We start from the raw sequence: 23,032 nt of genomic DNA on the forward strand, positions 1-23,032 counted from the left end.
ATTTATAAAGGAAAGAGATTTAATTGACTCACAGTTCTGTATTTCTGAGGAGGCCTCATGAAACTTACAATCATAGCAGAAGGCAAAGGAGAAGCAGGCACCTTCTTCACAGGGCAGCAGGATGGAGTGAGTACAAACAGGTGAAATCCCAGACACATAAAACCATCAGATGTCGTGAGACTCACTATCACGAGAACAGCACAGGAAAGACCCGCCCCCATGATTCAATTACCTCCCACCAAGTCCCTCCCACAACACATGTGAATTCGAGATGAGATTTGGGTGGGGACACAGTTAAACCACATCATTCTGACCCTGGCACTTCCCAAATTTCATGTCCTCACATTTCAAACCCAATCGTGCCTTCCCAACAGTCCACCAAAGTCTTAACTCATTTCAGCATTAACTCAAAAGTCCACAGTCTAACATCTCATCTGGGACAAGGCAAGTCCCTTCCACCTATGAGCTTGTAAAATCAAAAGCAAGTTACTTACTTCCTAGATACAATGGGGGTACAGGCATTGGATAATACAGCTGTCCCAAATAGGGGAAACTGGCCAAAACCAAGGGGTTACAGGCCCCATTCAAGTCCAAAATCCAGCAGGACAGTCAGATCTTAAAGTTCCAGTGATCTCCTTTGACTCCATGCCTCACATCCAGGCCACACTGATGCAAGAGGTGGGTTCCCATGGTCTTGGGCAGCTCTGCCCCTGTGGTTTTGCAGAGTATAGCCCCCTTCCTGGCTGCTTTCACAGGCTGGCATTCAGTGCCTGTGGCTTTTCCAGGCACATGGTGCAAGCTGTCAGTTGTTCTACCATTCTGGGGTCTGAAGGATGGTTGCCCTCTTCTCATAACTCCACTAGGCGGTGCCCCAGTAGGGACTCTGTATGGGGGCTCCAACCCCACATTTCCCTTTTGCACTGCCCTAGCAGAGGTTCTTCATGAGGTCCCTGCCTCTGCAGCAAACTTCTGCCTGGGCATCCAGGCATTTCCATACATCCTCTGAAATCTAGGTGGAGGTTCCCAAACCTCAATTCTTGACTTCTGTGCACCTGCAGGCTCAACACCACATGGAAGCTGCCAAGGCTTGAGGCTTCTGATCTGAAGCAACAGTCCAAGCTGTACTTTGGCCCCTTTTAGCTATGGATGGAGCTGCTGGAATGCAGGGTACCAAGTCCCTAGGCTGCACAGAGTAGAGGGGCCCGTGGCCTGGCCCACAAAACCATCTTTTCCTCCTAGGCCTCCAGGCCTGTGATGGGAGGGGCTGCCGTGAAGACTTCTGACATGCCCTGGAGACACTTTCCCCATTGTTTTGGGAATTAACATTCAGCTCCTCATTATTTATGCAAACTTCTGCAGCTGGCTTGAATTTCACCTCAGAAAATGAGATATTCTTTTCTGTCACAGTCAGGCTGCAAATTTCCTGAACTTTTATGCTCTGGTTCCCTTTAAAAACTGAATACTTTAAACAACACCAAAGTCACCTCAAGAATAATTTGTTGCTTAGAAATTTCTTCTACTAGATACCCTAAATCATCTCCCTCAAGTTCAAAGTTCCACAAATCTCCAGGGCTGAGGGAAAATGCCACCAGTCTCTTTGCTAAAACATAAGAAGAGTCACCTTTGCTCCAGTTCCCAACAAGTTCCTCATCTCCATCTGAGACCACCTCAGCCTGGATTTCATTGCCTGTGTCATCATCAGCATTTTGGTCAAAGCCATTCTACAAGTCTCTAAGAAGTTCCAAACTTTCTTACATTTTCCTATCTGCTTCTGAGCCCTCCAAACTGTTCCAACCTCTGCCTGTTACCCAGTTTCAAAGTTGCTTCCACATTTTCAGGTATCTTTTCAGCAGCATCCCACTCTACTGGTACCACTTTACTGTATTAGTCCGTTCTCACACTGCTATGAAGAAATACCTGAGACTAAGCAATTTATAAAGGAAAGAGATTTAACTGACTCACAGTTCCACATTGCTGAGGAAGTCCCAGGAAACTTAACAATCATGGCAGAAGCCAAAGGAGAAGCAGGCACCTTCTTCACAGGGTGGCAGGATAGAGTGAGTGGAAGGAGGTGAAATGCCAGACACATGAAACCATCAGAAGTCATTAGACTCACTATCACGAGAACAGCACGGGAAAGACCTGCCCCCATGATTCAATTACCTCCCACCAGGTCCCTCCCACAACATGTAGGAATTCAAGATGAGATCTGAGTGGGGACACAGCCAAACTATATCACTGCTCAAGGTAATTTATAGATTCAATGCTATTCCCAATAAACTACCATTGACATTCTTCACAGAATTAGAAAAAAACTACTTTAGAATTCATATGGAACCAAAAAAGAGCCCATATAGCCAAGACAATGCTAAGCCATAAAAACAAAGCTGGAGGCATCATGCTAATCCCACTTCAAGCTATACTACAAGGCTACAGTAACCAAAACATCATGGCCACTAGTACAAAAACAGACACATAGACCAAGGGAATAGAATAGAGATCTCAGAAGTAAGACCACATATCTATGTCCATTTGATCTTTGACAAACCTGACAAAAACAAGCAATGGGGAGAGGATTTCCTATTTATTTGTTTGTTTGTATTTTTTCTGAGACAGAGTCTTGCTCTGTCTCCCAGACTGACGTGCAGTGGCACAATCTTGGCTCACTGCAACCTTCACCTCCTGGGTTCAAGCAATTCTCTTGCCTAAGCCTCCCAAGTAGCTAGGACTACAGGCACACACCACCACACCTGGTTAATTTTTGTATTTTTAGTAGATACAGGGTCTCACCATATTGGCCAGACTGGTCTCGGACTCCTGAGCTCACACAATCTGCCCACCTTGGCCTCCCATAGTGCTAGGATTACAGGAATGAGCCACCACACCTGGCCAGATTCCCTATTTAATAAATGATGCTGGGAAAACTGGCTGGCCACATGCAGAAAATTGAAGCTGGACCCCTTCCTTACACCTTATACAAAAATTAACTCAAGATGGATTAAAGACTTAAATGTAAAACCCAAAACTATAAAAACCCTAGAAGAAAATCTAGGCAATACCATTCAGGACACAGGTACAGGCAAAGATTCAATTATGAAAATGTCAAAAGCAATTGCAAAAAGGCAAAAATTGGCAAATGGGATCTAATTAAACTGAAGAGCTTCCTCACAGCAAAAGAAACTGTCATCAGAATGATCAGGCAACCTACAGAATGGGAGAAAATTTTTTGCAATCTGTCCATCTGACAAAGGTCTAATATCCAGAATCTACAAGGAACTTAAACAAATTCACAAGAAATAACCCCATTAAAAGGTGGGCAAAGGACATAAGCAGACAATTCTCAAAAGAAGACATTTATGCAGCTGAGAAACATATTTTAAAAAGCTCAACATCACTGATCACTAGAGAAATGCAAATCAAAACCACATTGAGATACCATCTCACACCAGTCAGAATGGCGATTATTAAACAGTCAAGAAACAATAGATGGTGCTAAGGCTGTGGAGAAATAGGAACACTTTTACTCTGTTGGTGTGAATGTAAATTAGCTCAACCATTGTGGAAGACGGTGATTCTTCAAAGACCTAGAACCAGAAACACCATTTGACCCAGCAATGTAATTACTGAGTATATACACAAAGGAACAGAAATCATTCTATTACAAAGATACATGCACACATATGTTCACTGCAGCACTATTCACAATAACAAAGACATGGAATCAACTCAAATGCCCATCGATATTAGACTGGATAAAGAAAATGTGGTATATATACACCATGGGATACTATGCAGCCATAAAAAGTAACAAGATCATGTCCTTTGTGGGGACATGATGGAGCTGGAAGCTATTATCCTCAGCAAACTAACACAGGAACAGAAAACCAAATACTGCATGTTCTCCCTTATAAGTGGGAGCTGAACAATGAGAACTAAGGATACAGGGAGAGGAACACACACTGGGGCCTCTTGGGGGACAGGGAGGAGGGAGAGCATTGGGATAAATAGCTAATTCACATGGAGCTTAATATCTAGGTGATGGGTTGACAGGTGCAACAAGCCATCATGGCACACGTTTCCCTATGTGACAAACCTGCACATCCTGCACATGTATCCCGGAACTTAAAATAACATAAAATAAAAAAAAATTTTAAAGCCACATCTGCCCTAACGGCATAGCAGACTAGTCTTGCACCTGAACCTCCTAGACAAAACTGGAATTCATGAAGGGACATACATTAATTGTACTCATTATAGTACTAGCTTTCAAATTTTTGTTAATTTTAGGTTCCAAAATACTCATAGTGATTAATACCATTATTTCAAAATTTTAAAAAAATCTGATCTCTGAATCATTAGCATCCAGAGTAAACACGGGTTATATTGTTTTGAAAAAAATTTTCTTCCCTCAAATTTCACAGAGATAATAAAGGTCAACTAAGCAAAACTAATACTGTGAGAATAATTCTTATTCTAGCTTGAAGACTTTTTGAACACTGGAATATGAACACAGTATTGGTTTCCTAGAGGCTGTAACAAATGACCACAAACTGTGTGTCCTAAAACAACAGAAACCCATTCTCTCACAGTTCTGGAGACTAGAAATCTGAAATCAAGATGTTGGCAGAGCTATGCTCCGTTGTGAAAGTTCTTGGGAATAATCCTTCCTTGTTTCTCTCTAGCTTCTGGTGGTTGTAGCAATCCTTGGTGCTCCTTGGTTTATAGGTACATCACTCCAATCCTCTGCTTCCATCATCACGCTGCATTCTCCCAGTGTGTCTGTGTTCCTATATCTTCACATGGCCTTCTTATAAGGACATCAGTCACTGGATTTAGAGCCCAACCAAATCTAGTATGCCTTTGTCTTAAACTGATTATATCTGCTAATACTCTATTTCTAAATGAGGACACATTCACAAGTACTGGGGGGTTAGAACTTCAACATATCTTTTCAGGGGGACACAACTCAACTCACAACAAATACAATAGTAATGAATTATAATTTCCTTCTACAAATCATAAATTTAAAGACAATGTAACCTGGAAATGCTTTCTTTAAAATAAATATTATAGCTTGCTATCAATAAAGGGGCTATAGCCAGGCATGGTGGCTCATGCTTGTAATCTTAGCACTTTGGGAGGCCAAGGTGGGCGGATCACTTGAGGTCAGGAGTTCAAGACCAGCCTGGCCAACATGGTGAAACTCCATCTCTACTAAAAATACAAAAATAAGCCAGCCGTGGTGGCGCACGCCTGTAGTCCCTGTTACTCGGGAGACTGAAGCAGAAGAATCGCTTGAACCTGGGAGGCGGAGGATGCACTGAGCCAAGATCATGCCACTGCACTCCAGCCTGGGTGATAGAGCAAGACTGTCTCAAAAAATAAAAATAAAAAATAAAAAAATAAAGGTGCTATAGTCCCTACAAAAAAAAACTTTTTCAAAAAAATGTCCTTGAAGCCATCAAACAAGAGATAGTATTATCTGATGATACAAGAGTCACAGGAAATTTAGAACTGGATTATACTTATATTTTCATCATTACTCAGACTAGTGTATAGAATAGTGTATAGTATAGTGTAGCGTATAGTAAGGGCCTTTTAGGCCATTGGAAAAATTTGCTCAAAATTAATTACTTTTCAACTCAATAATACTATCATTAATAAACTTTGCTCCTTAAGGTTGCTTTAAAAGAAACATCAGTTATTTTATTTCAGTGTTTTATGCTGAAACTTTCTTCATTTTATGAAGTATTTACTTTTAATAATTTACCAATTAAAATACTGCACAGCTATACTTATATTATGATTTTGTCTTTTTGTATTTCAATATACTAAACATTAAATTATATATTTAGTTTCACTAATTTTTACTTTAAATTTTTTTGACTCATGAATATCTTAAGAAATAAAATAGTTATTTAATTACATGCAATTTTTTTGGCAAAAACTCTCCAAACAGCATATTGTCATTTTCTTCTAGTATTACAACCATATCTCAGGAGAAAAAAACAGAGAAACCTTTTTTTTAAAATGTGTCTGGCAATAAAGACTTTATGAAACAAGCTTATCTATCCTGGCCTGGGTTCTCCACAGAGAAGGAAAAATCATACTTGAGAATTCACAAACACAGGGTGGCTTTCATAAACCTTAGATTCAAATTTATTCTAATTACATGATTTATGTAATCCCAGTTAAATAAATTTTCAGTGGTTCTCGATGGTAGCACCCCAGACACCTGAAGAGAGAAACACAAAATCTCTGGAATTCATGAAGGGACATACATTAACTGTACTCATTATAGTACTAGCTTTCAAATTTTTATGTTAATTTTAGGTTCCAAAATACTCATAGTGATAATCTAATACCATTATTTCCAAATTTTAAAAAAATCTGATCTCTGAATCATTAGCATCCAGAGTAAACACGGGTTATATTGTTTTTCAAAAAAAAGTCCTCGATCCAGACATCATGGGATTCCCACACCCTCAATCCAGACATCATGGGATTCCCACAGGTAAAGTCCAATCAAACATGAACTTACAATACAAATTTAAAATGCACAAGAAGATGGACCACTAGGAGGGAGTCAGCAGAAAAAAAACAAAAACCAAAACAAAAAAACAAGAAAACATCCAAAAGAATGGTAAGAAAAACACAGCAAAATGAGATCCTTGGAGACAATTAGATTTTATATTCTTTATCTGAAATGGGTAGTTAAGATTAAAGATAGAAAAGAGTAAATCTAAAATATAAACAAGAAGTATGATGTTAAAATATCTCAGGCAAACTTGAAAACAAATAGAAGTTATAAAAATGACAATTATCAAAATTAACTAATGGGTAGCTTAAAAAACAGATGGGAATGAACTGCTATAAAGAGAATTAAAAACTAGAATAAAGATCTGAAAAAATCACACAGACGCCACATAGAGACAGACAGAAAACATGAAATGAACAAGACAAGGACTAATAGTGTAGAATTAAAAAACAGAAAGTTCATTTTAAACTTGGAATTGGCCGGGGGCCGTGGCTCACGCCTGTGATCCCACCACTTTGGCAGGCCGAGGTGGGCAGATCATGAGGTCAGGAGATTGAGACCAGCCTGGCCAAGATGGGGAAACCCTGTCTCTCTACCCTGACAGCTTCATCTGCTTCCTACAAATGGGCTCAGTTCTATTTACAATATCCTTCCTCAGCTGTCTACCCTTAGTTTTTAGTTCTTTTTTGAATTTTTTTTAGTCCCCACTATGCCTTAGAAAAGTTTCCAGTTCTAAATTATGTATAATCCATAGTCACAAAGGAGAGAAAAACTTAGCTTCTGTTTACCTTCTATATTCTTTATTCAACAAGTTATTGGAAATTTGCTCACTTTAGGCATGATGATAGGAGGTCCCATAAAGCCAAGACTGAGTACAATTACGTTTCTCTATGTGGCACCATGAGCAAGTAGACATTGAATAAATATTTCAACATATTTAAAGCCTTTTTAAAATGTGCCTAGTTTTGCTTTCTTATATTTGTAAAGGTTAGAAAACTGTGAGAGCTTAATCTACGTTCAAGTGTGAGAGCCTCTTACCCTTTTTCAGCTTCCGGACAGCCAACATACAATGACTAGGTGAGAGATCCCATATTCTTAAGGTTTTATCATCGCTTACAGTAGCACAGATGGGCAGATAAGGGTGTGTAGCTAAACCCCACACCTCTCCTTCCATGTGTCCCTATAAAGAAAACATAGGATCAATTTAGTGTATGTGTGTGTATATTTATACACAGTTTTATTTAGAATAAAGCTAAAGATACCATTCAATAATATATGATAATAGGATACCGAATAGTGAGTAAATCTATCAAAACTTTTCTGTTTATCTTTGGGAAACACAATAAAATACCTCTGTAACAACTTTAGCTCCACAATTACCATATAATCAAGCTACAATTAAAGTTAGCTTATAATCCTAAAACTTTCTCTGGGTGGAGAGAATAGGAATTGGCTGCTCTGCAATGTTAATAATTGCCACACAGGAGGTACTTTCCTGCATGAGAGAGTGAGGAGCTCCACAGACCTGCTCACCAGTGAAACTAGTAAAAATCAATTAAAAAAAAAAAACGCAAGCATTTAAAGTCTCTGAAAATAGTTCCAAGGAGATGCAACAAAGGAAGGAACATTTACTCAAGAAAATCTGTTAAAATTTGTTAAGAACAGTGAGAGTCTACGGTATTTAAACTGAGATCCACTCCCTTCCTCCCTCCTCATCTGGTTGGAAACTCCGAGACTGATGCAACCAAGAACACTAGGCTCTCTCTCCCCCCAGCTCGCGGTCAGAGCACTATCTTTCCAGGTAGGGCAGGATGTCAGCATTTCTCACCCTGCCCTCAGCCTCCTGTTGCTGAGGCTAAATTCTTGTTGAGCTCAGCTGACAGGTGGGAGATAACTTCTGCCCAGCCCCTCCTCCAGATGGAGGCTCTACTTTGGATGTGGTGCCTCTGAGAATAATGGGGTCCTGGGGTAACCCAGGAAAAGCTGAGACTACTGTCCCCTCTCCCCTTACCAAGTACTCAGGGCCTAAAGCCTGAGATACTCAAAGATAAGGATTCCATTGACCTCACTCTCAACTCCAGAGCCCTGGTTCAGAGATTCTGCCTGGAGGGAGAGGCAATCCAGAAATCCAGATAGCTCCTAATCTCTTCTCAAAGGAACTGACTTCATTTACAGCAGAGTGTGAAAAAGCTCATGCATAAGTACGTCTCAAAAACAGTGAAAATTGTTTTGAAAATTTCTTAACTATTCTTGAATATTTTTTCTTCTATATGGTTTTTAATATCTTTCCAGAATTTGTAAAAAATCTAATAAAAAGTAATTGGGAGGAGACTGGTAGGCTAACTGGAAATATAGGCTAAACCGTAGGCCAGCTAGTTTGTCCAAGAGAACCAGTAAACTCGCAGAGATAGCTGGGAGGAGCCTGCCTGGAGTCAGAAACAAACCTCAAACACTAATCTAGGGAAGTATCCCTTTAAAGGAGCCTGAATTTGATTGGTTTAGCCTGTGGCACAATTTATACCCAAGGAAAATGTTGAAAACAATAGAGCAATATGCTACCAATTAAAGGAGTTTAACAGTTGGGTGTGGTCAGGGAAAGAGACAAAGATGAGGGAACCCTTCCTGAATTATGTTATACAGCCATTATTACCCTGATATCAAAGCCAGACAAAGATATCACAAGAAAACTAAATACCAATATCTCTTATAAATACTGATGCTAAAATCCTCAACAAAATACTGGCAAACCAAATCCAATACACATAAAACATTACATATCACAACCAAGTGGGATTTATCCCAGGAATGCAAGATTGACAACATCAAAAATCAACTAATACACTATATCAACAGAATTAAAAATGAAAAACACATGATCAGCTTAATAGACATAGAAAAAGCATTTGATGAAAATGCTCCACAAATTTGGAATAAAAGGGTAGTAACTCCTCAACTTAAACTTAGTAAGGAGCATCTACGAAAAACCCACAGTTAACCTTATACTCAATGGTGGAAGACTAGATGCTTTCACTCTAAGATCAGGAACAAGACAAGGATGTTCTGTTCTCACCACTTACATTTAACAATGTACTGGAGGTTCTAGTCAAGACTATTGGACAAGAAAAAGAAATAGCAGGCATCCAGATTGGACAAGAAGAAGTAAAACTATGTGTATTTACAGATGACATAATGTTGTACACAGAAAACCCTAAATAATCCATTATAAAACTATCAGAACTAATAAATGAGGACGGCAAGTTTACAGGTTATAGGGTTAATGTACAAAATCTACTGCATTTTGATACACTAGAAATGAACAATATGCAATCAAAATTAAGAAAACAGTTGTATTTATAACAGCATCAAAAATAATGGAAGTTAAAAACTCGGCTCACTGCAAGCTCCGCCTCCCGGGTTCACGCCATTCTCCTGCCTCAGCCTCCCAAGTAGCTGGGACTACAGGCGCCCGCCACTACGCCCGGCTAATTTTTTGTATTCTTAGTAGAGACGGGGTTTCACCGTTTTAGCCGGGATGGTCTCGATCTCCTGACCTCGTGATCCGCCCGCCTCGGCCTCCCAAAGTGCTGGGATTACAGGCGTGAGCCACCGCGCCCGGCCTGTTTTATTATTTACATCTTTTCACTGATATTTAATTTTCAGTAATGAAATTTTAGCATACATTTTTATTTTTTCTTAGAAACTTAAGAATGGCCTAATGAAGAGTTTCAGAGAAAAATAATTGCCTTAGGCTCAACAAATATACCTTATATAAATAAAATTAAAAACAGACTGGGTTAAATTAATTACAGCTGGTTTTTCTTTTCATGGGTCCTTTATTTTCTGATAAGAAATTACTCAAAATATTGGCAATTATTCCATAGAAGAATATGTATATTTACTGACACCCAATCATTTCATTATAACCAAATTAAAATTTTTTCTGTATACATTAACAGAAAAAAACAAATTTTTTCTGTATACATTAATTTTTTCTGTATACGTTAAAATTTTTTTCTGTATACATTAAATTTTTTTTCTGTATACATTAACAAATATTTCCCTAATTTAACATTATTTTTCATCACTGTCAACTTTTGGCTCTTATATATTGAAATAATCAATTGTATGTAAAGAAAAAAAAACAAATTAGCATTTAAAATTACCTGAACCAGAAGTGTTATTGGGCCACTTTTATCCACTTCTAGTATTTCACCATTCTTTGTGCCAACTAAAATATGACCATGTCCTAATGATATGGCACGTATAGATGGATTATCTTCCAAGAGAAGACCTGAAATGTTAAATGAAGATGTTCTTTTAGACATACAGTTACTATAATACAACAGTGTATATATTGCCAATTAAGCTATTTTGACAGTGAAAATCACATTACAAGGTTTTCTCCTGTATTTTAAGTATTCTAATAAATGTACTATATTAACCTCAATCATTCAATTTAGTAATCTCTAAATAAGTACCACCTATGTCTTATAAGTCTATGATTCTATTCTCACATTCCCTCCTACCATTCCAACAGCTATTTGTTTACCTCTTCTTATATTAGCCCTTCCTTATCCATCTCCTGCCCCTCTTATTTACAATATTCTTATTAGTAATTTTAATTCAATTCAAGATATATAGTCAGCCCTCAGTATCCTTGGGGGATTGATTCCAGGACAACCACAGATACCAAAGTCTATGGATGCTCAAGTCCCTCATATAAAATGGTGTAGTATTTGCATATAACCCACATACATCATTCCATATATTTTTTTTTTCAGTAGGGTGGGGTTGTGCCATTTTGCCCAGACTGATCTCAAACTCCTGGGCTCAGGAGTTCCACCCACCTGGGCCTCCCAAAGTGTTGGGATTACAGATGTGGGCCACCACAGCCGGCCCCCATGTGCTTTAAATAACTTTTAGATTGCTTATATCTAGTAGAATGTAAATGCTATGTAAATAGCTGTTATACTGTATTTTTAATTTATATTATTTTTATTGTTCTATTGTTACTTTTTATTTTTCTCTAGCATATTTTCTATTTGCAGTTGGTTGAATCTGAGGATATGGAACCCACAGATACAGAGGGCCAACTATATTTATTTATGTCTACTTGTCCTAGGGAGGCTTCAGCAACATATTAGTAAAGATGATAGACTCAACTCATACCCTTACAGAGCATACAGTGAGGAAAACAGACCCTGTGTTAGGGGCATATTGAAATGGGAGCACAGAGCAGTGGAATCTAACTTTTTTGAGAGGAGATGAGGGTGGGGGAAATCATCCTAGAAAAAATCAGGTTTGATATTTGAAAAATAAGTATGTTGTCAAGTAACTGGAGGGGGCAGGAAGGAAGAGGAAGGACATGTTTTAGGAAAAAGTAAAAACAGGTAGAAAGGCCCAGAAGTCAGAGAGAGTGTGGTGCTATGCCTTAAAGGAAGAAATGCACTCAAAGACGAGTTAACGGGTGCAGCACACCAACATGGCACATGTATACATATGTAACAAACCTGCACATTGTGCACATGTACCCTAGAACTCAAGGTATAATAATAATAATAACAATAATAATAATAATAAAGAAAATGCACCCTCTGGGCCCACAGCCCGGAGGATGGTCGGCGGACAGGGAGTTGGGCCTGATGCTGCCCTTGCACCCTTCCTCCTCTTCAAAAAAAAAAAGGTAGGCCAAGCACAGTGGCTCATGCCTGTAATTTCAGTGCTTCGGGAGGCCAAGTTTAGAGGATCATTTGAGTTTGAGACCAGCCTGGACAACATAGAGGGACCCTGGCTGCACAAAAATTTGAAAATTTGCTGAGTATGGTGGCAGGCGCCTTTAGTCCCAACTACTCAGGAGGCTGAGGCAGGAGGACCACTTGAGTCTAGGGGTTCAAGGTTTCAGTGAGTTATGATTGCACCACTGCACTCCAGCCTGGGCAGCACAGCAGGACCCTGTCTCTTAAATAAATCAACAAACAAATGGCAAAGGGAAAAAAGGCCTGTGAGGCTACAGAAACAGGGTCAACAAAATGCCAAGGTGAAACAAAATATCAAAGTTGCACACAAGTTCCTGACTGGTGATAAATGTGATGTTCACATGGAAATTTTCTTTGGAAAATTAATGTTAAAATTAGGATTCATAATCTTGTATTTCACTAATATTTTACCATGTGTATCATAGAAAATAGACTTTTGAAAAGATGGCAATGATTCTGGTATCCAGTTAAGTGATTTCTTCCACTTAATTCTGATGCCCAACAAGACGGAAAAATACATGCCATGTGTTCCACCTCAGTGATCACACACATTAATGAGCAATTAATCTTTTTTTCCTATACAAAAACCCCACTAAGTCTCAAATCACCTTTAGATCCTGGGGCCAATGCAGCTCTTTTTATAGCATAGGTCTTGAGACATCTTTCAAAAGAGTCATCCCAAAGAGCTACTATACCATCTTTTCCTCCAGTTACAAACCCCTATGGAAAAAAAAAGGTTCAAGTTAATAAAGATCTAAATATTTTTTAAAATAGTAACCTTTTTCCTTATATTGAAAACTTCTAGAAAAAAGAACATAGTCAAAAGTTACAGCTTGTAAAGAACAGGAATTAGCTTAAGAATCCATTGTGTTTTTAAACCGTCTACATGGAATCTGCAACAATATTTACAGTGACCCTAAACATTTTACTTTTAGATAGGGCTTTAGAAACACAGTTTCTAAAATCTGTAACTATAAGTTAGATCACCACTCTCAGAAAGTTACATATATCCTCTTGGAGTCTACATAATAACCTCATCCTTAAAAAGAGAAAACAAAAATGGTAACTACCTGATGGATATGGTGATTATATATAAACAGCCGATTTTTGACACATAGTATGAGCTTAAGAACATGAAGTTAAACTTTAAAAAAAAACAAAAAAAACACAAAACAACAACAGCAGACCTGGCTGGCACCATGGCTCATGCCTGTAACACAATACTTTGACGGCTGAGGTGGGAGAATAGCTTAAGCCCAGGAGTTGGAGACTACCCTGGGCAACATAATCTCTACCAAAAAAATTTTTAAAAATTAGATGGGTGTGGGTGGCACTTGCCTGTAGTCACAGCTACTCAAGAGGCTGAGGCAGGAGGATTTCTTGAGCCCAGGAGCTGGAGGCTGCAGTGAGCTATGACCACACCACTGCGCTCCAGCTTGGGTGACAGAGTGAGACACTATCTCAAAACAAAACACTGCAGACCTATTTCATTCTGTGTTCGGGAGTTTGAAAAGAGAAACAAAGAAAGGTCAAGATGACCCTAGCCCACAGACTACTGCTGGATAGTCCAGGCAAGTAGAAAGGCAGTGTTCCTTTACTTCTTAAAATGCTCTACACTCCAGGACAAATTTTGTTTAATTTAAAATCTCTTTAGGTTACTTACTTTTTCCAATGCATGCATACTGAACACTGGCCCATCATGCGCTTTCACTGTTTTTACAAGAAAGATGTCTCTCCAGATACACACATCTCCTGTGGATGTTCCAGAAAAAGCCATCTCTTCAGTCCATCCATACACTGCACACATCATTGTGTCATTTTTCCCCAGTGTGCCTATGTAGCCTTTTCTTCCAATCAATCCTCCCCCTAGTTCACAAAAAATATTATGAAAGTACCACTTTCAAAATGTACTCAATTATAAAGAAGCAAAGTTTCTTTTCTACTGTTGTTGTTGTTGTTTGAATAGTAAGGCATGCAACAGTAAGGAGAATTGAAAACTACAGGTGTCTCAATCAGTGATGTGGGTAACACCTTGCATAACTGCATTTAGACCATAACTTTTTAGATAAACAAAGACCTGGACTAAGTCTGTTTTAATCAGCCCTTAGCACTTTTGATGATGTTTTTTAAAGTTTTTATTATGACATATTTAAGAATACAAAAAGGCATTTAAAAACCCCAATACAATGAATGCCTATATATCCGCTGACCTACAAAAAGATCCCAAAGTAACTGAAATGTCATGCCAACCTCATCTCCCTTCTTCACGCTTTAGTATTGTGAATGTGATACTGATTATTCTCATGCATTCCTTTACATATAAATATTTGTGAATTTTTAAGCAATCTCATTTTTCATGTTTTAAATTTTTCTATAAATATCATCCTGTATGTATTCTTTGCAACTTGCTTTATTCACCAATGATTTGTTATAGAGTTTTTTACATGTTAGAAAACTCACTTTCATAACCACATAGCATTCCATTATATAACTATACCATGGCTTATCCATTTTCCTATTAATGGAGATTTAAGTTACTTCCAAGTTTTTGCTATTAAAAGCAATGCTGCTTTAAACATTCTTGTAAAGGCCTCTTCTATACAAGTGCAAGAGTTTCTCTAGGAATGCCTGGGAGTAGTAATAGGGTAATGTGCAAAAGGCATATCATATAGATCAGAGAGGTATCAGCTCTTGCCAAACTGTTTTCCGAAGTTTATATACCAATGTACACTCCTACGAACAGTGAAAAGAATTCCTTGTTTCTCACCTTTGGGAACAGTTTGTGTTGTCACACTAGGGAATACGAAATACCAACTGAATTTTATTGTAGTTTAAATTTGCATTTCTGTGAATATTATGCTAGATCACATTTTCATATTTTTACTGGCCATCATTACCTATTGATATCTCTTGCCCATTTTTCCCAATTGGACTCACAAATTCCTTCCTTCCTTCCTTCCTTCATTCAAGAAATATATTAGCTGGGTATGGTGGTGTACGCCTGTGGTCCCAGCCACTTGAGAGGCTGAGGCAGGAGGCTAGCTTGAGCCTGAGAGGCAGAGGTTGCAGTGAGCCATGATTGTGCCAGTACGCTCCAGCCTGCGTGACAGAGCAAAACCCTGTCTCCAAACAAAAAGAGAGAGAGAGAAAGAAAGAAAAAAGAAATATACATGCCAGGCACTATTCAATGTACCAGGCATAGACTTATGAACAGAACAGGCAAGACAACAAAATTCCCTAGAGCTTCATGGTGAGAGACAGTCAATAAATGTAACAAGTAAAATATACTGTGCTAGATGATGATGGGTGCTTTGGAGAAAATAGAAGCATAAAAAGGAGACAGGAAGTGGGAGGAGTCCACTTTAAGTAGGGTGGTTAAGGTAAGCCTCATCAAGAAGGTGTATCTAAATGAAGACTTGAAGGAGGTAGCAAGAGCAAGCCATGCTAGAAGAGTGTTCCAGGCAGAGGGAGCAGCAAGTGCAAAGGCCCCGATACAACAACATGACTGAAATCACTAAGTAACATCCAGGGAGACAAGTATGGAGCAGCAAAGAAGGGGAGACAGTAATGGGAAATGGGGTTGGAGAGGTCTAAGGCAGTACTGCAGGCCATTGTAAGGACGGCCTACTTTTGCTTTACATGAGATGCAAAACATTTGAATAGTGAAATGACAAGATCTGGCAATTGATTTATTAAGAGGTTCATTCTGACTTCTGGATTGAGAATAGATACAAGGGAGGTCAAGGATGAAAGGAGTTAGAAGGCTATTTCAATCATCTGGGCAAATGGTAAATGTGGCAGACCAAAGTGATATCATAGAAGATGACGAAAAGTGGTTAGATTCCAAATGTATTCAGAAGACTGTCTTTTCTCAACATAGAAGGCAGAGTCATTAGTGACCTTGTAAGAGCAGCTGGGTGGAGTGGTGAGGTGAAAAAAACTAGATTAGACTTTTCTAAAGAGAAAGAGAACATAAACTGCAAATTGAAAGTAGGAACAACTGTTTAGAGGTGGTTTAGCATAGAAGATGACAAATTGATCAGCAACTGGAGAATAAAGTTGAAAGAGGGTTTTGTGTCACTTATTTAAGATGGCGAAATCACATCACACTTTTATGCTGAAGGGAAAGTCAGTAGAGAGGAACATTGATGATACAGTAGAGAAAGGGTAGAAGAGTTAGAGTGATGTCCTTGAGTAGATGAGAGAAAGAATCTAGTGCACAAATGGAAGAACTGGCCTTTATTAGAGGGCAAACTATCTTCTAGAGCAGGGTGGGGAAACAACAGGCTGAATGCCAAATCCTGCCACTACCTGTTTTTGTACAATGTCCACTAGAGCAGGTTAGCACTCTGAGCTGCAGAGACCAAGTCTGTTTACTTCTCTGCACCCAGGGTCTGCCTCCCTGGTTTGTGGCTGTAACTAGCATCTGCCCAGAGTCTGGGCTGGTCCCCACCTACAAGCTAGAGACTCTGCTAATGGCAACTGCTGGGTATCTGGCAGTGGAATCTCAGTCTAGTAGTTGCCCCATTTCTGGTCAGCTGCCCAAATTCAGAAGGTTGGGCTCTCCAGGAACAGAAGGACACACTAGGATCTATGTGTCACTGGGGTAGTGAAGCTCACTACAGTTTCACTCCCAACCAAAACCTGCCAGACCCATTCCCTGGCAGACAGAATGTCTAATGGCAACTGGGTGCAAACAGGGTAAGCAGGGCAGGACAGTTTTCTCTCTTGTTCTATAATTACCTACATAATACCCTTGATTTTGTCCTTTGGCCTAGAAAGCCTAAAATATTTACTATCTGGCCATTTATGGAAAAAGTTTGCCACCTTTGGTTCAGAGCATTGACAGCTGGGTTTTCTTGATGATACACACAGCATAACATGTTCCTGTTACATGAGGTCATATAATCAGCTCACATTATTATTGCATCAAAAACTTTCAGAGGCTCCCCATCCCTCTGTCCCTACCATGAATAGAGTTCAAATCCCTTAGGGGAGAGATTAATAAATCATAACTTGAAATTCTCAAAGCCTAGATCTGGAATGGGAGGCAAGAAGCCCCATGTTAACCTCAAGCCTAAGTCATCTCCTTCAACCTAGTTTACCTAAAACTATGCATTTAGAGGGTTAAACAATAGTTAGGTTAAGTAAGTGGATACTTATTTCCCAAGTGGTTAATGAACTCTGTGGATCAGAACCCCAAAAGTAAGGAAGGTTGAAATGCTCACCAAAGCCTTAACATTCATCCTTTTATGCTTCACTTTCAGGTCTACTATACGTCTAATCAAACTTAAGAAAGAAAGTTATTCATTTGGAAGTATTTTCACTGCAAGAATATTTGCTTTCTTGAAATCTTATTTCAAACAAATTCATAGTTCTTTTCCAAGACAGAAATACTGAGTAAAATCGGCCTTCCATGTTCTCAGGTTTTGCATCTGTGGATTTAATAAAATGTGGATTGAAAATATTCCTTTTAAAAAGGATGGGCTGGGCACGGTGGCTCATGTCTGTAATCCCAGCACTTTGGGAGGCCAAGGCGGGTTGATCACCTGGAGTCAGGGAGTTCGAGACCAGCCTGGCCAACATGGTGAAACCCCATCTCTGCTAAAAAATACAAAAATCAGCTGGGTGTGGTGGCGGGCACCTGTAATCCCAGTTACTCAGGAGGCTGAGGCAGGAGAATCACTTGAACCCAGGAGGTGGAGGTTGTAGTGAGCCGAGATCACAACATTGCACTCCAGCCTGGGCAACAGAGCGAGACTCTGTTTCAAAAAGAAAAAAAGGATGGTTGCTCTGTACTGAATACATACAGACTTTTTTTCCTTGTCATTATTCCCTAAACAACAGTACAACAAACTATTTACATAGCATTTACATTATATTAGGTATTATCGGTAGTCTAGAAATGACTGAAAATATACAGGAGGATGTGCATAAATTATATGCAAATACTATACCATTTTATACAAGGGACTTGTGCAGCATGGATTTGGGTATCCTTGGGGAATCCTGGAACCAATCCCTGATATTTTCTGATGCCATGAGGTACAACTGTAGTATATGCTGCGAATTTGCAATTACAAGTGACTAAGGTGCCCAAATGAAGTTTGTTTAAGCATGTGGAAACAAAATTACAAATGTAAAAATACTTCTTTTTACTTTGTAAACGCATATGCTGTTATCTGATGAGTTTTTGATAAAGTGTTAAATCCAAGACTGAAAATTAATTCATGTCCCATGTAATTTACAACTTGAAAGTTACTTGAACTTGGGAAATGTCTTCACTAAGTTTATTCTTTTCTAATAATGTTTTACTTCTTCCTATATTTACATATTTTCTCTGAACAGTTTCAATTTATTGAGATTTTGATGTCACATTGATGGAATTTATAAGTATACTATTTAGAAAACAGACATTTTTTATTTTATAGTTACAAATGACTAAAGTATCATTTGTACTATAAATGATACACTTTTGTATCATTTAATAGCATATGAGTAATTTTTTTTAATTTTCATTTTCAGTTTAGACTATAGAACATGTCTTTAACAGAAGAAAAAGTCTGGACATAATTTGATTAATCTCATATATTGAATTCTTTTGCAAGTATGAATACTACTGTATTAGTCTGTTCTCACACTGTTCATAAAGACATACCCAGGACTGGGTAATCTATAAGGAACGAGGTTTAATTGATTCACAGTTCCACATGGCTGGGGAGCCTCACAATCATGGCTGAAGGTGAATGAGGAGCAAAGTCACGTCTTACATGGTGACAGGCAAAATTGCTTATGCAGGGGAACTCCCATTTATAAAACCATCAGATCTCATGAGACGTATTCACTTCCACAAGAACAGTATGGCGAACCGCCCCCATGATTCAATTATCTCTACCTGGCCCTGCCCTTGACACATAGGGATTATTACAAGTGAAGGTGAGATTTGGGTGGGGACACAGTCAAACCATATCAACTACATAAATGCAGCCAATAAATGGCAATAAATCTTGTATTTGTTTAAAATGCATCAATACAACAGTAAATTACTTTTAAAAAATAAACTAATTTTAGATAATTTTAGATTTCCAGAAAAGATGCAAAAGTGTTACAGAGTATTATTCTCTTATACACTTCAGTTTCTACTAATGTTAACATCTTTTTTTTTTTTTTTTTTTTTTTTTCGAGACAAGTTCTTGCTCTGTTGCCCAGGCTGCAGTGCAGTGGGAGATCACAGCTCACTGCAGCCTTAACCTCCTGGGCTCAAGTGATCCTTCCACCTTATCGTCCCAAGAAGCTGGGACCACAGGTACACACCACCATGCCCAGCTAATTTTTTTTTTTTTTTTGTAGAGACAGGGTCTCACTATGCTGCCCAGGCTGCTCTTGAACACCTAGGCTCAAGTGATCCTCCCACCTTGGCCTCCCAAAGTGCTGGGATTATAGGCATGAGTCACTGTGCCCAGCCAATGTTGACATCTTATATTACCATAGACCATTTGTTGAAACTAAGAAACCAACATATTTGATACATTATTATTAAATGAACTCAAGACTTCATTCAGATTTCATCAGTTTTTCTCCTAGTGTTCCTGCTCTATTCCAGGATGCAGTCTAGGGTACACACTGCACTTAGCTAAATTACTTTCAAAAGCAATAATTTCTTAAAATTCTATGGAGTAAAAAAGAAGCACTTTCTTACCTGCTTTACGCCAAAATTTCATGTGTTTAATTCCAGCTGTAATTAGTTTATCAGGCACATAGGGGTTCATCTTTACAACAAAAATCTTATCTTTACTTCCTCTGAAATAAACATCGAAATGTTTTAGCTCTGAAGATTCATCATTCCTGTATTAATCTCTTGCCTAATCCATACCCTATCTTGATTACTCTATTTACGAATATTTTACTCCCACTTATCTCTCAGGTTTGGGCTGTGTATTTGTTCTTTTGTCATCATTTTAATATGGTAACTCTGCTCAAGAGAATCTCAAGAGACAGAAATGGTCAAAACTGAACTCCTTTTGGACAGCATCTATAATACCTACTATAGTACTGTGCCATAGGGAATGCTATTTGTGGCATGAATGGGTTAAAGTCAATTTTAAAACAATACTTTGTTATAGCTTAAGATAGCCTTTCCAACTACAAAATTCCTCTTAAACTATTGTTAATTTGAGCATTATCTATATGCTCCATAAAAAGCATTTATCTATATATTTAAAGTGCTTTAACATCGCTTTAATAAATAGCAGGTTAAAATCTCTGACACTGTTGACTAGTTCCTCCTTTAAAGCATTGTTAATATTACTATAAAAAATACATGCTCACTGTAGAAAACTTAGAAAATGAAGAAAAATATAAGAAAATAAAAACCTATAACTTCTTTGTGACATATATGCATATATATCTTTTTTCACTTTAATATATAATATAAGCATTTGAACATGGTCTCCAACAGCTATATAATAGCCTATCATACAGTAGAACACATTCTAACTGTACGTGGAGATTTTAGATAGTTATATCCAATGCCATATTATAGTTATATTTAAAAGTGGGTTCACAAGGGATAAATCTACAAAGAAATTCTGAAATCATTTACTATGATTATATTATTTATTCAATGGTAATAAACATGGAAGCAATAAAAAGTTACATATTTGCTTGATTTCAAAATTCTTTTAATTAAAAATTTTTTTAAGTCCAAAGTAATTCTAGTATTTTGCAAATGTGATATCAAGTTTTTTTCCTACCTTGCTATTGAAAGTTTCTCTCCTTTCTTCCAGTCCCAGAGCACAACAGTATGGCTATCATCTATGCCAACTGATGCCAAACGTTTCCCATCCGCTGTGGAAAATTAATGAGAGAGATAAACTGACTATTAACATTCAGAAGAGAGAAAACATTCAGTATATATTCTAAACCCACATCCTATATTTAAAATTTGATAAAATAATGTTAAATGTTAGGCATGCATACACCTATAAAAAGAACCAGAATTTATAAGGGAGGGAGAATAAAAGTTTCTCAAATCCTCTAAATGTATCTGCTCTCATCGCACCTGATCTCCTTTTCCCTTATCTATCCATCAGGTTGGGATGGGAGGAGGGAGATAAGAAAAATGGAAAAAAGAGATTTAAAAAATAGAAGGAAAGGGAAAACTAACAAAGGGATGAAGAAAATATTTAATTAAATTCATCATAAGAAATTTACTGTAATATAAGAACTTTGAGTAATTATGAAAAGTTAATCAAATGAAAAACACGTAAGTTACAACAACATGCTGCCACTAATATGACTACTTTTAGTAAAGGTCAATCATTCAAGCAATACATAATGAATATATTAGACAAATCACTGCGACAAATGATCAGTGAATATCCTATGGGTGTGCATGTTTACAGGCTGTAAAGGCTCAGACCACAAGAAAATATTTTCCATTTTACCACACTTTGCAAGTCTCAATTAGTTCCTCACTGCTCCAGTGGTATTTTTCGTGGTGACTCACTTAGCTTGCAATTCATTTTCTAGTTTCTTAACTGTTAGCAACTCTTTGAATATATATATATATATATATATTTCCCTCTGAACTCTACTATGGATAATTTATCACTTCAGTCAGAGCAGCAAAAGCATTAATTCACTGTTTCTTAATATAGAATTCTCTATTAATGTATTTCCTCCCTCTTCCCAATTCACACCCTAGCTTTCACCGTAGATCTATCTGTAGTGGTCAAACTTTTAAACAAACAGAAAAGCGCTAATATGATCTGAAATTATTTTTACAAGACAGTTTAAAATTGTCACTGTATAAATATGTCTAAAATAAGTATTTCAATTCTCAACTCTTTCTTTGCTAGCCTTTTACCCTAAACATTTTCAAAGTTTACTCTGGCTATAAAACGGTAAGTGAGATCAGTGCCCTCCCAGCGTGGGAGATGCAAACCACCTGTGGTAACTGAGATGAATTTAGGTTGTTACGTAGATAAACATTTTTATGTTAACAGAAACATGTAAATTTTAATAAGTATTAAAACTATACTCATTAAGTTATAATTATAAACTAGCTAGCAAATCCACACTTTCATAGTATTTGATAAGGATAACAGTATACACATTTGATAAAAACTGTGAATGTCACAGCTAAATGACAAGCTTAGGTAACACTGACTTAGATTAAAATGCTATGTGTTGCCTCTGCATTTTGTTAATTCTTACTGAGACAGCAAACAGCCTTACCTGAGAAATCAACGGCACTAACACCATACTGGTGGTGGCCCTTTAATATGGACAATGGTTTAATGGTCTCTGTATCCCATATATGAATTGAGGGATCTCTACCAACCTAAAATAGAATTATAGAAGCTATTAAATACAATTAAATTATTTATTTCCATATCTACTAAAAGGAAATAAAACAAGAGATTTTTACAGCTTGACTTATTTACCACAGAAATTTATTAAATAAAAATTTAAAGCAAACTATATAAGTGACTGATATTTTTTTCTTATGCTTGTTCAAAAGCTAATGAGGCTAGGCTCAGTGTTTCCAGGAATGATGTAACTAACACTATGTGACTTTTATCATATATTTCATCAATAAAGATGATAAATGCTTACTGAATATCTATTGTTTGTATGCTAGATACAACGAGCAATAAGACATTCAGGTAACTTTTGCAAACTCACTGGAAAAACAGGACATTATCAATGAAAGACAAACACCTCTTAATAGATG

At 37.7% G+C, this 23,032-nt stretch overlaps 1 protein-coding gene across 26 annotated transcripts in view; it reads right to left on the bottom strand.

Annotated features, from left to right (window-relative positions):
* EML5 (EMAP like 5) overlaps positions 1-23,032 on the bottom strand; it is a 180,523-nt gene that overhangs the window by 61,883 nt on the left and 95,608 nt on the right. For 21 of the 26 annotated variants that reach the window (XM_017021065.3, XM_047431056.1, NM_001411033.1 and 18 more), the window contains 7 exons: positions 22,534-22,639; positions 21,048-21,141; positions 19,994-20,094; positions 13,958-14,160; positions 12,903-13,014; positions 10,702-10,829; positions 7,577-7,718 (listed from right to left, as the gene is read on the bottom strand). In XM_017021065.3, the coding sequence (XP_016876554.1) occupies positions 7,577-7,718; positions 10,702-10,829; positions 12,903-13,014; positions 13,958-14,160; positions 19,994-20,094; positions 21,048-21,141; positions 22,534-22,639 (886 nt within the window). Of the gene's footprint in view, positions 1-6,132; positions 6,236-7,576; positions 7,719-10,701; positions 10,830-12,902; positions 13,015-13,957; positions 14,161-19,993; positions 20,095-21,047; positions 21,142-22,533; positions 22,640-23,032 lie in introns of those variants that run through there. The other 5 variants (XM_047431057.1, XM_011536533.4, XM_017021064.3 and 2 more) reach the window with 3 other exon arrangements.

Source organism: Homo sapiens, chromosome 14 (assembly GCF_000001405.40).
Source record: "Homo sapiens chromosome 14, GRCh38.p14 Primary Assembly".
NCBI lineage: Eukaryota > Metazoa > Chordata > Mammalia > Primates > Hominidae > Homo > Homo sapiens.